The 18,697-nt window shown below is 38.0% G+C and overlaps 1 protein-coding gene across 5 annotated transcripts in view; it reads left to right on the top strand.

Annotated features, from left to right (window-relative positions):
* The window catches only part of MEGF10 (multiple EGF like domains 10), a 231,923-nt gene extending 218,501 nt beyond the window's left edge, over positions 1-13,422 (top strand). For all 5 annotated transcript variants that reach the window (XM_017009987.2, XM_011543694.1, NM_032446.3 and 2 more), the window contains 4 exons: positions 1,299-1,422; positions 6,766-6,810; positions 7,601-7,807; positions 9,328-13,422. In XM_017009987.2, the coding sequence (XP_016865476.1) occupies positions 1,299-1,422; positions 6,766-6,810; positions 7,601-7,807; positions 9,328-9,518 (567 nt within the window). In that variant the 3' untranslated portion in view covers positions 9,519-13,422. The remainder of the gene's footprint in view (positions 1-1,298; positions 1,423-6,765; positions 6,811-7,600; positions 7,808-9,327) is intronic.

Here is an 18,697-nt window from a genome sequence, read left to right on the forward strand (position 1 = left end):
TAATTTATTCCTCTAAACAGTCCTCTGAGTGTGCTTTGGGAATCTCAAGTTTACTGATGAAAACCTGAGTAGTAGGGAGTTTAAGTTACTTCCAGACATAGCTGCCCGATAATGAGTGAGGCAGCTGCTGTGTGAGTCAAAGTCTCTCTGTCTCTACAATCTGTACTGTTTCCATTACACCGCTTTAGAAAAACGTTTCTAATTTTACATGAGATTTTAAAATAATGACTCATAATGACATTAACAAAAACATAAAGACCTATAGCAGAATCAGCCGTGGGCAAAATCTCCAAGTGTGTCTCTTCTGACCGCCCGTCCTCCAGTACCCGTTCCTGGCCACCTGTGCTTTAGTAACAACAACAGTAATAGGCACTGATTTGGGTTGAACCACATGAAATTGCTATTTTTGTAGGTCAACAGTGGTCACATAGCAACAACCTAATATTATGTGCCAAGCATTTCTAATCACTTAAAAATATAAACTCATTTAATCTTCACACCAGTCCTATAAATCAAGAGTGATTATTATGCCGATTTTACAGATGAGGAAACTGAGTCACAGAGAGGTTGGAGACAGAGTGTCTAGAACCCAGAGCTGCTACTCCAATAGCACCCAACTCACCCCAGGTCTTCCCCACAATGCTCTGAAGTCTCAAACATTTCTTTCTTCCAGTCATACCCAAATTATATTTCTAATCTCTGTTGTCTAATTCCAGTGCTCTATTAGAAAAAAAATCAAGCTAATTAAGTTAATCCAGTTGTAATTTAATTAATGCAGCTATAGATTTTAATTATAGTGCTTCATGGTTAAATATCACTCCACATACCCCAGAGACTTTCACATTCATCAATTTATTCTCATACAAATTCAGGGAAGGAGGCAAAGCAGATAATCTTATCCTCATGTTTACGCCTAGGATAACTGCTAAGAGTCACCTGTGATTCACACAAACATACAATTTTTGATGGAAGAACTTAGACCAAGAGTTCTTTTTTTTTTTTTTTTTCCAAATCAAAGTTACATGTGTATAAATCCAAATAAGGTCTAATTGGCACAGGATGACAGAGTGAAATGAAGATCTTGAGGTGGTGGAGGGAGTAGCTAGGACTGAAGGACATGAACTCCTGCCAGCTTGCAAGTCCCACCAGGTTACAAGCAGTCACCTCGGCCCCTGAGCTCAGGTCACTCTAAGGACTGGTCCTCAATATGTGCCCTGGACTTTTCCCCAGGTCCATAACGCTGTGCTGTGCCGCATTGTATTTTGTTTTTAATCTTTCGTTGTTTATATTTTTAACAGTCAAAAAACAATCAACTGTTTGTGAATCTTAAAAATGTGAACCCTGGGAAGAGAGGCCCTGTGGGGGACTGCACTGGGACATTGCCGGCTGACTGGAAACATGGCGGCTACCTCAACGAGCTCGGTGAGTTCTCCCAACGCACGTCCCCAGAAGCACCTTGACCTGTCAGTCCCTGAAACAGTCACGGATCTCTGTTTGTGCCAAGGTGTTCTATTGAAAACTTGCATCAAAAAGCACAATAGCAGAATTATGCCTAACACCTGTACAGGGCTATCTACTGTCCTAAGGGCTTTATCTATTCAACAAACATTTATTGAGTTCCTACTATGTGCCAGGAATTGATCAAAAGAGATTGGGATCTCTGCCTGCTCGTAGCTTACATTCTTGCTCTATGCCTGTTAACTTAATTCTCACAAGTACTCTAATAGGTGGGTACTATTGTTATCACCATCTGCATGTTACAGTTGAGAAACTGAGTCATAACAAGGTTATGTTACTTGCACAGGACCTCATCGCCTGTTAAATGTTAGAGCTAGTATTGGACCCTGTCAGCTTGGCTCACAGCTGTGTGCTCTTCCTTGTTCTCTTTTGATATAGGGTATCTGTACTTGAGATCCCCTTCCCTTTCAGGTGAGGAATCAGAGATACCAACAGGAATACAGTGGATCAGTGGTTCGGGCAACTTTTTGAAATTAGGACTCCTTTGCATTCTTAAAATTTATTGAGGACCCAAAAGAGCTTCTGTTGATAGGGGCTATATCTATTTATATTTACCATACTAAATGAAATTTAATATGTAAATAAAAACTGGAAAAAATAGAATGTTAATTTATTTAAATTAATAATAATCACATTTCATGGTAACATAAATTGTGTTTTTATTAAAAAAAACTACATTTTCCAAAACCCTTCAAAATTAGCGAGAAGAGCAATGCTATTTTACATTTTTATAAAAAAATCTCTTTAATGTCCAGCTTAATAGAAGATAGCTGGATTATCATGTCTGCTTTTACGTTCAGTTGGTTTTGATCTCATACTTTATGTAGCTTCTGAAAAACTCCACTGTACACTTGAAAGAGAATTAGAGTGAAAACGGCAAATATTGTTGTTGTATTGTTATGGAAATAGTTTTGCAGCTGGGCACAATGGCACAGGCCTATAGCCCCAGCTACTTGGGAGCCTGAGGCAGGAGGATTGCTTGAGCCCAGGAGTTTGAGTCTGATCTGGATGACATAGCGAGACTCACCTCTTAAAATATATATGTGTATATATAGTTTTGATCTCATAGGCCTCCTGAAAAGGGGGCAGGAATGCTTGGTCCATACTTAAAGAACTTCTGTGATATACCATTAATTATGCAGTGCAGTTTCCAAGCCTGTAACCCATATTTTCAGACAGGAGTTTGATGATGTAGTAACTTACAGGTGTGCAGTGTCTTACGGATAGCAAATCCTTTCACGTACATTTATTTGGAGGTAGGTGCCAGAAATCCCAGTTAAATTTGAATTTCAGATAGATAAGCAACACATTTTTTTGTATAAACATATCACAGATATTACATGGGATGTACACTAAAGATTATTTTTTGTTTCTTTTAAATTTTAATATAACTGACCTTTGTGTATTTTCATTTGCTAATGTTTTGTTTTGTTTTGTTTTGTTTTTGTTTTTGTTTTTGAGACAGAGTCTCGCTCTGTCGTCTAGGCTGTAGTGCAGTGGCGCGATCTCGGCTCACTGCAAGATCTGCCTTCTGGATTCAAGTGATTCTCCTGCCTTAGCCTCCCAAGCAGCTGGGATTACAGATGTGCACCACCATGCCTGGCTGATTTTTGCATTTTCAGTAGAGACAGGGTTTCTCCATGTTGGCCAGGCTGGTCTCAAACTCCTGACCTCAAGTGATCTTCTTGCCTCAGCCTCCCAAAGTGCTGGGATTACAGGCATGAGCCACCACACTTGGCCCATTTGCTAAATTGGATGATCCTCCTGGGTGGACTCTCTCCTGTGAATCTTGTTTTGTAGAGGAGTAGACTGGGAGGCACAGAGAGGTTAACCCTCTTGTCTGAAATTTCAAAGAAGGAAAGGGGTAAAGCCAGATTTCAAAGTTGATCTTCTGACTGCTCCCCTTAAACACTGCTTCTCCTGTAAGCAGTGTCAAGTTCTCTGAGCCAGTCATAGGAACTGATCCCTGTGGGAATGCCTCTTTCTATGGAAATAAAAATGTTTTACTGGTGAATACAAATTCTTAGTCATTTCCATAGTGTAGTCGTTATCACGCTCGCTGTACAAATTCCTAACTTTTATCTGTATTCTATACCATTTTTATCAATAGGATGAGTATTTCTAACCACAGTAAAATTATTTACATACGAGACTCACAATATGCTTATTGGTAACATCATCTAACATTAAAGGAGACTTTTTAGGAGTCTTAATTACATTTATAATTTAGCTCAAAGGAATATATGAATTGATATTCAGCAAAATACCAACCAGCGCTAGTGAAAGAAAAGTCATCTTGTTCTATCTTAGACCACTGTGAAGACTCCAGAAGATACGGCATCACTGTACTGGTCACATGTAAATGTCTCTGCTTTCTGGCTCAATGAGACCCAAGGGACTGAGTGTTAGGAACCTAGGATCTTCATTGGAAATTCTGGATCTTCTTGGTTTGTTCTCACTCAGGAATAATTCTGCATTTAACATCCCTTTAAAGTTGTTGCACAGAAAAAGTTCTTCACAAAGGACAGAGTCAGGCATGTTATGGATGATAAAGCTTACAGGTGCTTTAAATGATGGAATAGTTGTCGTCATGGTATCTGAAAGAGCCTTGAACTAGACACAAAAGACCCTGAGATATAGCACTGGGCCAGTCACTTACCCTCACTTACCCTTGATTCGTTCATTTGTGAAATGGGAGTAATAAGCATGTACTGGCTCGTTTTGTGAATTAAATTAAACCAAGCATTTGAAAGCCCTGCTCCAGGGATGGGTGTATATAGGAGTTTATAGGGAATCCTGACTGCTCCCTCATTAAAACAGCTCCCTGATCCTCCAAGGCAATGAAGACAGAATCTGGCAGGGGTGTCTGGCCTCATAGCCCCAGCTCTTATTCCCTAACTTACTATCTGCTCCATGCTGGTTCTCTCTTTCACACCTTGGTGGAAGGCTAGCCACTGCACAGCTAAGATTAAAATGGGCATTTAATAAGACTTTGCTACAGTCTGGAGATGGCCAAGAGTATTTGGCAAAGAGGAGCATAGACAGAGCTCCTTGATAAAGCTGTTCTCAGAGGCCACAGACTGTGCCCCATCTTCATGGGTCCTCTTTATAAAGTCTGGGAATTCCCAAGACCACCCTGACTTCTGACATCAGCTACAAGTTGAAAGATCACCAAGACGACCCTCAGGATCAACATTTTGCTACAAGGAGTCACTGAACTCACTGAATGGGCATTCTCATGGTTACAGTTTATGGGGGGCTCAGTCATATAGACATGATTGACTCCCATCATGTAGACATGATTGACCTTTAGTCTTTCCCCTTCCAGAGGTGGAGATGATACCATATGGCCCAAACCCCCCACCATAAATCACTTGGTTACACTATCCGGTGTATCCCTGGGCCTCCGGGTGAACAAAAGCACTCCTATTGGGCAGGACAGTCCAAGGACTTCAAGATCACCTCCCAGGAGCTGAGGGCAAAGGCCACCCCTTTCTTTGATAAGGTTAATTCTTCACTACACACCCATTTATGCTGCCTCCCTGCATAACCGTGTGCCCTTCCCCCCAGCTATGGGCTTGGTTAGACTCTTCACAACCCAGATGCAAGAGAGTGTGCCTGAGAGAGGAAAATATTCCCATTTCCTGTCCCACGATGATTGATATCTGACAGACCCTCTCCCTTTAGGAGAGGCTGCTTCCTTCTCCACAACAGTGTGTGCTTACTCAGTGATCCCCATGGGACACCAACATCAGAACTTGAGCTTAACATCTCTCTAAGAGATGCATGCACAGTGGCAAGGATATCGTTTCCTTAACATTCTCAAATACTTACCTGGAATGTTCATTGCTAGTTGTTACTTTACTCTCTGCTTTTAACCTAAGTCTGTAACATTCTTATTGTATTGTATTTCAAAAGATTAGTGATGAAGTTTTGCCATATTGCCCAGGCTGGTCTTGAACTCCTGGGCTCAAGCAATCCACCCACCTTGGCCTCCCAAAGTCCTGGGATTACAGGCATGAGCCACCGCACCCGGCCTGTAATATTCTTTTGAAAGGCAATTGAAAATGCCTTGGAGTGCTTAAGGAAAGACTGAAGCAGAGGGTAGTATAATGCACTGAGCGTTAGAGTAATTGACACACTTCATTTGTATGGTGCTTCAGAGTTTACAAAGCCTTTTCATATGCTCTGTTTCACTTAATGATGACAAAAACCCTGGAAGGCTGGAAGGCAAATTTTGTTTTCCCCATTTTAGAGATGAGAAAATTGACACTCAGAGGGTGGAACATCTTGCCCAAAGTCCTATGGCCAATAAGTTATAACATGTAATTCCTTTGTCTCCTAATCTATAGTTTTCTCCTTTTTTGTCACAACACAGCTCCAATAGAATAATTGACTCCCATGCAGTATTAACAATGCAATTTTGCACGTATACACCAGATAGTATAAAATGGGCTAGGTAATGTCGTCTTATTTTGTTTTTAGTAGTGCGAATTTGTGATTAAATGCTTATATTTTATACAACATGCTTGTGACCTGATTGATTTCTGTAAGTGGTTGCACGTTCTCTTGCCTACATGCTCAATTTTTCCAGCATGAGCCGGAACACTCCTATTTCCCTCCCCACACCCACGAAATAAAGGCTGGCCATTTTCCAATGAGAAAGCAGGTTTTTTTGTGTGTATCTAGGCTCATACACAATTATGTCCCCATACCTGGAAAAGTCAAATTATGAAAAGCTGAATAAAGAAGGGCAAGAGCTAGTATCACCTGTAAAGTATTAGTCAACAGTGTTCGAAGCTTCCAGTCTCCAGAAAACATGCTTATAGTGAAGACAATAATATAACCGAATAATGATTATTGGGAAAACTATTTGAAAACCATCAGAGCCTTGAAAGAGCTGCACGTAGGTATGAAATGTCAACTCTGGTCTTGGCTGTATCCTTTCTTTTCACTGTGCAACCTTGAATCAAGTATACTGATTTATCTCTGGGCCTCAGTTTCTATCCTGTTTTGACTAGCTTTTCCTGAGTCACTGTAAATGACTAGGTGAATGACCAAATGTGTGTGTGTTTAATTCTAGGCACTGGGGACATCTGGGACAACTGATCTGGTGTAAAGGCTTGAAGAGCAGCAGCCTGGTTGTTTGCTGCAGTGGGAGATCCTCTTCCAGGACCTTGGGATATTGGATGGGGTTTTTCTTCCTTTCAGTTCTCACTGGGTGTTTTTTTTCTTCCTTTATTACAGGTGCTTTTGGACTTGACAGAAGCTATATGGGAAAATCCTTAAAAGGTATCATGTAAATTTGAAGAAGAAATCAGAAGCACAATTAAATTTTTTTTAACCTCAAAGACTGAAATAGTTTTTAAACAAGCTAGAATGGCAAGAGAAAATGTAGAATTTTTAGTGTGGTCAGTTACTACAGCAAACACACAAACATGTGTGACTGACATCAAGAAAGTGACCAGAGGTGGTCCTTGGTAGAGCTTAAGTCTTTGGGGAACAAAAGATTCAGTTTGCTGAGGAAACACTCATATTTCATTTAAAAGAAATATGGCTTATGGGGAGACGGAAACATATAAAGGGAAATAGCCGGGACAATAAGAAAAGATCCACATGGTTACATGTTGACCAAGTTCTGCTGTTCAGGATGGGTGTGCATGATTAGATGCCTAGTACAGAGCTTTTACTAGGAGTCCTCCCAGCACAAATGCCTTCTTGTCATGATAATAGAGCCCTCTTGGTGCTCCTGGGGCCATCAACAGCTGGTTTCTTGATTGAACTTCTGTAAATTTTCTATTAATAAAACAAAACGTAATTGATTATATTCTAATGTGATCATAAAAATGAAATCAGTTAATGATATTGATGTCAGTACTCATCTTGGAGAGGAGCTAAAACTACTTTAGGGATGGGTCATTTTATAGCAGATTCTCTCCAAAACAAGTGGAAAAGGTACAGTATTATTTTCAGTGTGTAGAATTATGGAAACCTAGCTATAAAGAAAAACAGTAAAATATCACCAAGAAATGATGTTGCCAGTGACACAGCATTAGCTTTCTCTTCTCATTTCTCTTCACAGACCTGGGAAAGAATTCTGAATATAATTCAAGTAACTGCTCCCTAAGCAGTTCTGAGAACCCATATGCCACTATTAAAGACCCACCTGTACTTATCCCGAAAAGCTCAGAGTGTGGTTATGTGGAGATGAAATCGCCGGCACGAAGAGATTCCCCATATGCAGAGATCAATAACTCAACTTCAGCCAACAGGAATGTCTATGAAGTTGGTGAGTTCCCTTAACCATAGAAAGAACCGAGTGCTTAAGTTTTTAAAAACAATTTTAAAGTCTTTACGAATATAATAGTTGCAGGTCATAGAAATCTTATTGAAAATAATGGTCCGTATTTTATTTTATTTTATTTTATTTTATGTATTTTTTGAGATGGGGTCTCTCTGTCACCCAGGTGGTGTGCAGTGGCACAGTCTTGGCTCACTGCAACCTCTACCTCCCGGGCTCAAGCCATCCTCCCACTTCAGCCTCCCAAGTAGCTGGGACCACAGGCACGCACTACCACGCCCAGCTAATTTTTTGTATTTTGGGTAGAGACGGGGTTTTGTCACCATATTTTATTAATAGATGCGACCTGTGTTTTTAGCGATCATATTAATTGGTGCCAAAGGAATTTTCCAGGGAAAATATTATTTAGAAAAATTTAAGGTAAAGTTTCTTTATTTTTCACCTAATCATCCATCTTTTGTTTTGTAACCATAGTGAATATTTTGGCACACATGTGGATAGCATATGTATCATATTAGCTAATATATCTACTTAGCCGAAACAAATGGTTCAAGTGGATTAAACAGGTGATTCCATTTCCTGGTTCATTATATTAATATAATGCATTTAGCAAGATTGAAACATTTTACTTTTAAACTTGTCCAAAAGAGCAGTAATATTCTCTGATGTGAATGTGATGCAAATTAATATGAATTCAATTTAAAATTGGAGTTATTTTGATTGTCTTTTGCAGATACCACTTGGGAAATGATAAAACATTCCACCACTACTCTTGGCTAAACAATAGGGCTATATATTTTCATTTCTCTCTCTCTCTCTGTCTCTATTTCTATGTCTCTCTGAGTATTTATGATTTTAACTTTAAAATATTCTCTACTACTTGTAAATGAAGTGCCTACTTTACTACTAGTAATTTATTTTATGCCAGATACATCCCTGGGAAAAAATATACAAAATAATTTATTTTTAAAGTATTAAGACAGCTTTTTAAAATGCAAGTCAAAGTGAACTAAATTTATTTTTGGAAAGTCAGTAACAATTCTCCTTTAAACTGTCCCACAAACCTGCCACAGTAGGATGGGAACTCAAATGAGAGCCTGAGTCTTGAGTCCTAAAGTTCTGAACATGTTGAGTGTTTTCATGAACTGAATTAACGTTTGAGAATGTCAGTCTTCTCACCTGTGGAATAAGGGGCTTGGCCTACCTTATCCCCAAGGTGTTTTTCAGACCATGATTTATTTCCAGGATTCTGTATATTCCCTTAATATCTTCATCCCGATTATGTGGTCCTCCTTTTGTTCTGAACACCATTTGTGTTTGCCAGTTGATCCAACTACACAGAGTTGCCACCTGTATGTGATGATTTTTAAAATCATGTTTTTAAAACCAGCATTTCCTTATATTTTTTTAAAAGTCCCTTTGGTGTGTTTGACATTTGCAAGAAATGCCATATTCTTTTTAAAAACATTTCCTTTGCTGATAAATTAATATGTCCTTGGTTATCACAGAACCTACAGTGAGTGTTGTCCAAGGAGTATTCAGCAATAATGGGCGTCTCTCCCAGGATCCATATGACCTCCCAAAGAACAGTCACATCCCTTGTCATTATGACCTGCTGCCAGTCCGAGACAGTTCATCCTCCCCTAAGCAAGAGGACAGTGGTGGTAGCAGCAGCAACAGCAGCAGCAGCAGTGAATGACACCAAAGGACCGCTTGGTAGCCACTGGAACCCTTTCCAGAACTGCTGTTTGGTTCTTCTCCATCCTCAATTTTGCCACTTTCATGTGAATGTTAGTCAATTCGGTGGGCAATTTTTGGACATGAACCAGAAAGCTGAAAGCTGAGGCTGACACGGACTGTAGGTGCTTTTTGTTCAGGTGGATTCGAAGGAGTTAGAGATGTGATTTCCCATTGCTGTTAGTTTTAGAACTATACCCGTGAAGCATGACTTATTGTAAGATGTTGGCTGAAAGCATGAACTTGCAGAACTCCCTCGGAGACGCAGGTTGCAGTGGACATTGGGATTGTTGCTTGAAAAATTAAAATTTGAATATTTTCTCTCTCATTTGCATCATACAGCTCTACCTAGGATTGTACAGTTTACCATAAAATTTACTTCATGAAAGTGGGAATCACTGAACATGTAGAAGACAAGGAACATATTGTTAACTCCTGATTCTTAACTTTATTCAACTGGACTCAGAATTGTAGGGATAATATGAATGCAGGAGGAAACATTCTGTCAGGCGGTATGACTGGACAGACTTTGAATATACTCTAAAAGTGGACAGAAAATTTACGAAAATCTTAGATTTTGTTTAGAATGAGAAAATATACAATTAGAATTATTTTAGAAATAGTAGGAAGTATTGCAGAAGTCAATACACAAATGTGCCAGGCAGAGGTGGTTTTCTCTGTTTGACTCTCAACCAACTTCAGATCTATGACATTATTCTGATCACTGGCTCCATCATACATATTCACCACTTGAGATTCATAACATATCAATAGTTATTTCATAAATATAGAAATGAAATAATTTTATTTTTGACAGACTGGATGGAATGAGTGTGTAATGATTGATAAAGGTTGTAAATTTTAAATGCAAGATGACGCTTACGTTCTGTAAACCATTAGTAATACATGCTGTAATATAGAATTAGTGGAACATTTTGATTAATCTTTCCCTAGAAGTGACTGAAATATTTTTGTGCATATTTGAGAAAGGGAACTTTCCTTTTATTAATTGTCAATTTAGAGAAACTATGCTTAAGCTGGTCTTTTGCATTGCTAATGTGACATGTACCCAACTTTTCATTAATTTGTATTTCCATTTTTAAATTGCATATTCTATGTTTTGTAGTGTTTGGATTGTTAATGAAAAAATATTATATGTTCGTTATTCCTTGTATTATTGCCACTTATCTTTTGCTTGATAAAAATGCGTTGTTCTTTTTTCTTTTGGAGGGACAAGATGAAAATATATAATTTGAATTGATTAAAATTGGTCGTTACTAAAATAGTATAGTAACCACAAGTGATTGGCTTATAAATGAAGTAGAAATGCTTTTTAATATTCCAAAATAGAGTTCCTTTTGATCTGTTGGTGCTGAGCCTTGGTTAAACCAGGGAGAAGGGGAGCAGAAAGGAAACGTTGTTACTGATGAGTACCACAGACTCATCTTAAAAAAAACTCTCATTATGGTGATCATAGAATTGACCATCCAAACTGGGACACTCTTGAGAGTAAATGGAGGGCATTATTAATAATTATCTTGTAATGAACTTAAATCTGGACTGTTCCAGGCAAACCAGACTTATCTTGCAATATGAGAATGCTGACACAATGCAGGAAAGCCAGTTTCCCTTTTGTTGATCTACTTGACCAAGCAAAGGGGCTGAAAAACTGAATAAGGAAACAACTTTATAAGAGAAACAGTGGTCTTCAATCTTTTAAAGACATGAAATCCTATATGGCATTCTGTCTCAGTGAGTCAGTTAACAAATACGTATGTGCAACCCTTCTGCTAGTAGTGCACATAAGTGATTATCCCTGCCAGGTATCGAGTTGGAATATCCAGTTATTTCATGTCACACATCGGCACGTATGATGGTGGTTTGGTCAGATGGATAATACAGCAGACACACTTAGAACACTCACTGCACTGGTGGCTGTTCATTTTGAGGAACTCCAAAGTCAATTCAAGGAAATAAGGAATGACCTGGAACAGGCCTTAGAAACAATTGATTTATTCCAATAGTTAACCACTGGCTGGCTCCCAACTCTAGGTGATAGGCATCTAATTGAGACATGTGTGAGTCAATAGCCATCGGGGTCCTTTTTGGTGAGAAGAAATAAGACATTTTCTCCCTTTTAAAGATCATCTCTTCAGAGCTGCATGGTAAATTTGAATTTCCCCATTGTTCTCTAGAGCTAGGTCAAAAAAACAACTGTTTCTTTTCTTATTCCACTATTAATAAATTGAAAGCTTGCTGTACAAAGGCAACAGCAACTTAAAAAAGAAAATCTGGACAATAGATGTGGACTCCAAGGGGCCACTGCCATCCCTTCCTGTGTGCTCTTTTTGACAAGTAAATCACTCCAGTTAGCTGATGTCCTGAAATGACATTTGTACCTGAGGCAATTCTTATTAGAGCTTACTCAGGACTTTTCAAACATCAGGACACACATAGCAATTTGGATGTTGTAAAACTACGTGTTACATTTGGAGAGGTCTTGTTGAGAAGGCAAAATTTTCTAAATATTTTGATATCAATTTGGGTAAAGAAAGGAATACTTTTGTTAGAATGAGAATTAAAGAGAAAACAAAAGAATCTTGGCAAAATTTTCCCTCTGAAATTACAAACTTTAGGAACTTTTCCAGATGTATCGAATTTAATTTGACATTGATGTCACTCTTCATACCAAGTGAATCTATTCTCATGAACTTTGAACCCATGTTAATTTTGGACCCTATAACTAATTTCCTTTCTGTATCCCATGGTGGTCAAAGCAGTAAAGGAGTTTAGAGATACTTAGCAAATGCCATTCATATAGTATTGTTAGCCAAACTATTATTCCTTCCTTAGAAGTTGATGTATCAGAAAATTTATAAGTTATTTGTATTTATATATAAGTACATCAGAACTTGCCCACATGATAACTCATGTTTGCTTTAATAAGGAAAATATGTTATTTGAGGTTAATTATATGATAGTGAGGAACATTTTACAATTATTTACAGTGTTTGACATTAATTGCTGTCCTATGATACAGTAGTAATGTTAACAGAGAGTTTAATATGTTTAGCATTATCTTTATGGAATTTATATTCACCAATTTCAGGAAAACCAACCATAGAACTTTATAATAGGACAGTTATAACCTGACTGAACCAAATCCATCAGCATAATGACTGTGTGTTCTGAGAAATGCAAACAACTTTATGAAAGTGTGGTCATCTTGACCCCCAAAGAGCCACAGTAGCTGTCAATTATTGAGATTTTTAAATGGTAAATATTGCAAAAGTTAAACAAGGGTACCACAATATCATTTATAATTGATGTCAATATTAGTAGTCCACTTTATGCTTAAAATAAAATCATAAAAAATCAAGTTTTAAGGTTATATTTTTTAAAATAATGAATTTTCTATCTCTAGGCAACATGTCTTTATTATTCAAGCTGAATGTTTAAGAGAGATTTTGGTCTTAAAGGCTTCACATCATGAAAGTGTACATGCATATGCAAGTGTGAATTACGTGGTATGGATGTTTGCTTGTTTATTAACTAAAGATGTACAGCAAACTGCCCGTTTAGAGTCCTGTTAATATTGATGTCCTAACACTGGGTCTGCTTATGCTAGTTCAGTATTTGGTCTAGGCTTCATTTTGATATGACTGAATTGCAATCTATATTTTTAAAAAGAAAAATCAAAATACATTAGGGTTTACTTGGTTGTGGCAAACAAACAAAAAATGCTTTCAGTGTTGAAATATCTCTATTTTCCAAAGATGATAAACTTTCATCGTTCTTAGCCTACATTGTCATTTATATCACCAAATGAGTTTATAGATTAATGCAATAAACTTTCTAATAAAAAACTCTAGTGTTTCTTTCTATATCTGATTCTACTGTTGATTAATGAGAGAAAAAACCTTGTGCTCGTATGGAAAAAATAATATTTTTTCTTGTTCTTGAAGGACAGAGGCAACATTTTATTCATATTTGGATCCCTGGAACTCAGGTTAGGGGCTGATAGTCAAGTCTTCTGTAACTAGCTTTAGGTTATCTTATGTGGATTTGCTTTCTAAATCTCAGTGCCCATTAGTACTTTCATTTATGACTAAAACATCTTTGAAACATTTGCATTATAGCACTGCGGAGCAGGGATCAAACATGAGTAAAACATTGTTTCTTCTTTCAATAGCTGTTTCTTTACTGGGGCCCTGAATGCCAAGCACAGCTGGGGATGCAGAGACGTGTAAGGCATGAGCTGTTTTGGAGTCCTTCATTATTTAGTTAGGGAAATAAAGCATATGGCTGGCTGTGTGACTGGTTCTGTGGGTTAAGTTAGCCTCTTAAGGCCTTGGCTTCTATATTGCAATACATTGGAAGTAACAGTACAATAAATTTCATAGGGTTTGTGAGAATTTAATAACTTTATACATACAAAACACTTCAGTGCCTGGCATACACTAAGCACCTCGTAAATGTTAGCTGACATTGCTATTATGAAAAATTAGCTAATAATATGAACCAGTTTGCAATAACCAGATGAATGATGGGGCTAATAGATCAGAAGAGAGTATTTAATGAATATTATAGAAGCTATACATTTGAATGACCATATCCTGATCTATTTTTATACTAGCACAAAATTCCATACATATTTTATTTCTAGAGATGTAATTTAGGAAAGCAATAATATGTTTATATTTTCCAGTAACATGTTATCTAATTGGAATTAGGAATGCTTTTACAACATTTGGATGTGAGTTTCTGAGGAAAATGGTGACCTGGGAACATTCTAGAGAATATGACCATCCAGAAAAAGTCAAGGGCTGGTTTTGGCAACCAGAAGGGGTTCTGCATACAGGGAGGCATCAAGTCCTTGAAAGAATGTGCCAGTTGGGGCTAAAGATGTAAATGAGAGTTAATGCGAGGTGGAGAGGGTGCATGATGAGAGTCAGCTATCTTGGGTGGATACACAAAGACAAGGGAAGGTAGAAATGTTTCTGCTGTTTGCATTATGCGGCAATGAAAGAGGCAAACTGTTCCCCGGGTGATGGCACTTAGGAGAGGCAGTTTCCACATTGGGCTGAGGTCAACCTATCTCCACTTGGACTCGTGAACTGAGGCCTTCTGCCACTTACATCAGTAAAAGGGATAAGGCTGGGTTTGGTAGCTCATGCCTGTAATTCCAGCACTTTGGGAGGCTGAGGCAAGAGGACTGTTTGAGCCCAGGAGTTTGAGACCAGCCTGGGCAACATGACAAAACCCAGTATCTACAAAAAATACAAAAAATTATCTGGGCATGGTGATGTGCACCTGTAGTCCCAGCTACTCGGGAGGCTGAGATAGGAGGATTGCTTGAGCCTAAAGGTTTAAGGCTGCAGTGAGCCATGATCGCACCGCTGCACTCCAGCCTGAGCCACAGAGTGAGACCTTGTCTCAAAAAAGAAACAAATAAACAAACAACAAAGGGACTAAACTAATCACCAGCTAGTCACTAAAGAAAAAATGCCTACCCTAACTGTCAAATCAGAGGCAATACAAACCTGCACCCTCTCAGTATAAATAGACAAAGAAAGATCACAACCCACTCAGGAACATTGCAGCCCAGTTAGAAGAGATTAAACTGAAAAACTGCAATAAGCCTCTACTATGGAGGTAGAGCTAATGTAGAAAATAGAAGAAAACTTAGATAAAATATGATTAAAACTCTTGAAGGGTTACAGTCACAGGACAAGTGAGAGGCCCCTGGAACTAGAAATAATGATTTCCTAATTTAAAAAATTCAATAGAAGGATGTAAAAACAAAAGCAATATGTTTTTATTTATTTTTATTTTTATTTTTACCTTTTAAGTTCAGGGGTACATATACAGGTTTGTTACATAGGAAAACATGTATCATGGAGTTTTTTGGTACAGATTATTTCGTCACCTAGTTATTAAGCCTAGTACCCATTAGTTATTTTTCCTGATGCTCTCCCTCCTCCCACCGATAAGCCCCATTGTGTGTTGTTCCCCTCAATGTGTCCATGTGTTCTCATCATTTAGCTCACACTTATAAGTGCGAACATGTGGTATCTGGTTTTCTGTTTCTGCCTTAGTTTGCTAAGGATAATGGCCTCCAGCTCCATCCATGTTCCTGAAAAGGACATGATTTTGTTCTTTTTTATGACTGCAGAGTATTCCGTGTGTACCACATTTTCCTTATCCAATCTGCAATGGATGGGCATTTAGGTTGATCCTATGTCTTTGCTATTGTGAATAGTGCTGCAAAGAACACGTGTGCATGTGTCTTTAATAATAGAACAATTTATACTCCTATGGGTATATACCCAGTAATGGGATTACTGGGTCAAATGGTATTTCTGTTTTTAGATCTTTGAGGAATTGTTACACTATCTTCCACAATGGTTGAACTAATTTACACTCCCATCAACAGTGTATAAATGATCCTTTTTTTCTGCAACCTTGCCAGGATCTGTTATTTTTTGACATTTTAGTAACAGCCATTCTGACTGATGTAAGATAGTATCTCATTGTGGTTTTGATTTGTATTTCTCTAATGATCAGTGATGTTGAGCTTTTTTTCACATGCTTGTTGGCTGTATATATGTCTTCTTTTGAAAAGTGTCTGTTTATGTTCTTTGCCCACTTTTTAATGGTTTTTTTCTTGTAAGTTTGTTTAAGTTCCTTAAAGATGCTGGATATTAGACATTTGTCATATGCACAGTTTGCAAAAATTTTCCCTCATTCTGTTGTCTTTTCACTGTGTTGATAGTTTCCTTTATTGTGCAGAAGCTCTTCAGTTTAATTAGATCCCGTTTGTCAATTTTTGCTTTTGTTGCAATTGCTTTTGGCATCCTCGTCATGAAATCTTTGCCTGTTGCTATGTCCAGGATGGTATTGCCCAGGTTGTCTTCCAGGGTTTTTATAGTTTTGGGTTTTACATTTAAGTCTTCAATCCATCTTGAGTTGATTTTTTAATATGGTGTAAGGAAGGGGTCCAGTTCCAGTCTTCTGCATATGGCTAGCCAGTTATCCCAGCAGCATTTATTAAATAGGGAATCTCTCCCCCATTGCTTCTTTTTGTCAGACCTGTAGAAGATCAGATAGATGTAGGTGTGTGGCCTTATTTCTGGGTTCTCTATTCTGCTCCATTGGTCTATGTGTCTGTTTTTGTGCCAGTACCGTGCTGTTTTGGTTACTGTAGCCCTGTAGTACAGTTAGAAGTCAGGTAGTGTGATGCCTCCAGCTTTGTTCTTTCTGCTTAGGAATGCCTTAGATATTTGGGCCCTTTTTTGGCTCCATATGAATTTTTAAAAAGGTTTTTCTACTGCTGTGAAGAATGTCAATGGTAGTTTAATAGGAATAGCATTGAATCTATAAGTTGCTTTGTGTAGTATGACCATTTTCATGATATTGATTCTTCCTATCCATTAGCATAGAACTTTTTTTATTTGTTTGTGTCACCTGTGATTTCTTTGAGCAGTGTTCTGTAATTCTCCTTGAAGAGATTTTCACCTCCTACTTAGCTGTATTCCTCAGTATTTTATTCTTTTTGTGGCAATTGTGAATGGGATTGGGTTTCTGATTTGGCTCTCAGCTTGACTGTTGTTTGTGTATAGGAATGTTAGTGATTTTTGCACACGAATTTTGTATGTTAACTGCTGAGACTTAGGAGAGTAAATTTTCAAAAATTGAAATCATAGTTGAGAAAACAGAAAAGACTGGTCCAAGAGACCCAATAGTTAAGTAGTTGCTAATCCAGAAGGAGAAATAAGGAACCACGGAGAAGTAGAAATCAAAGAAATAATAGAAAAAACTTCCATAAACTACGCCTTTCCATAATATGAATCTCAGATCTTCAGATCTTTATTTCAGATATAAAAGGATTTACCACGTTAATGAAACAGAATTAATAAAATACTATGGAGGGAAATACATCCTAGTCAAATTTCTGAACTCTAAGGATAGAAAAACAAACTTAGAATTGTACAAGCAGAATTAACATATGGCTTACACAGGAAAGATAATTGCATCAAATAGGAAAAGTGTAAGATGGGAGCAGGAATAGGGAGAAAGCCACATAGGTCAGGACAGGTGACTGCCTGGCAAAGTGGATTATGCACCTGCCTGCTATTCTCCAGCGGTAGCATAAGCTGTCCCTCCTCCCAGGACAGCAATGGCTACCTGACAGCAGATTGTTAAATAGCTCTCATTTCATTCTGCTTCAAATCTCTGACCCCAACTAGTTTAGACCAGACAGAGACAGTGGCAACAGGAAGAAGAGAAGGAACCTACATGATGGACTGGCACTGGATAATCTGGCCAGGATGGACTGGTGAGACAGATGCTCCTGTTTATCTGGATTAATTGAATTGCTATTAAAGAATCAGAAAAAAAATTCAACCTGAAAATTTTGGAAGCCTTGTGTGGCTCTTGGCCTATGGCATGCTGTACTTCCTTCTATGTTGATGACCTGGACTTTTTTATACTGAAGATTAAGAAACAGAAAAATCCAAATATGCCACACAGTGGCTAATCCACCATGGTATATTCAATGATTGGAATATAATGGAGAGGTTTATGGAACAGATAATCTTTAAATACCTAAGACCAGAACTTGAAGTCCATTGATTTCTTGTAACCTCTGCTGAACACTCCACAAAACGGAGAATACACGACTGAATTAACATTTGAGCTTTTCCATTTTGTAGGCTTCTAACTGGCTGTACAGACCAGCTTTGCTTTACCTGCATCTTGGACATTAGGGACAATTAGAAGAACAAACAAAAACAGTCTTCTCTGGAGGCCAATCATGATCAGCAGCTTGAGACATTGCTTCCCAAGTGTTTGGAAGGGAACTGTAGATTCCATACATACTGAAATTAAGGTGAAGAATTGAGAGACTGTAGGAAGTCAAAGTGTACTGACACAGTAGCCATTACACATCACACGCACTTCTGGAGGCTCAACACTGGTTTCAATGCTTGAATTCTAGCCATCATGTTACAAAGGATTATGAATGACAGAGCTAGCATTTGTTATCACATTCCAATGTTTAAAGTCATGTTGTAGGATTGATTTTATAGTTAATGGGAAGGAGATCATCTTTCTTATTACCTAGTTTGTATGGATGGTTGG

Source organism: Homo sapiens, chromosome 5 (genome assembly GCF_000001405.40).
Source record: "Homo sapiens chromosome 5, GRCh38.p14 Primary Assembly".
NCBI classification, from domain to species: Eukaryota; Metazoa; Chordata; class Mammalia; order Primates; family Hominidae; genus Homo; species Homo sapiens.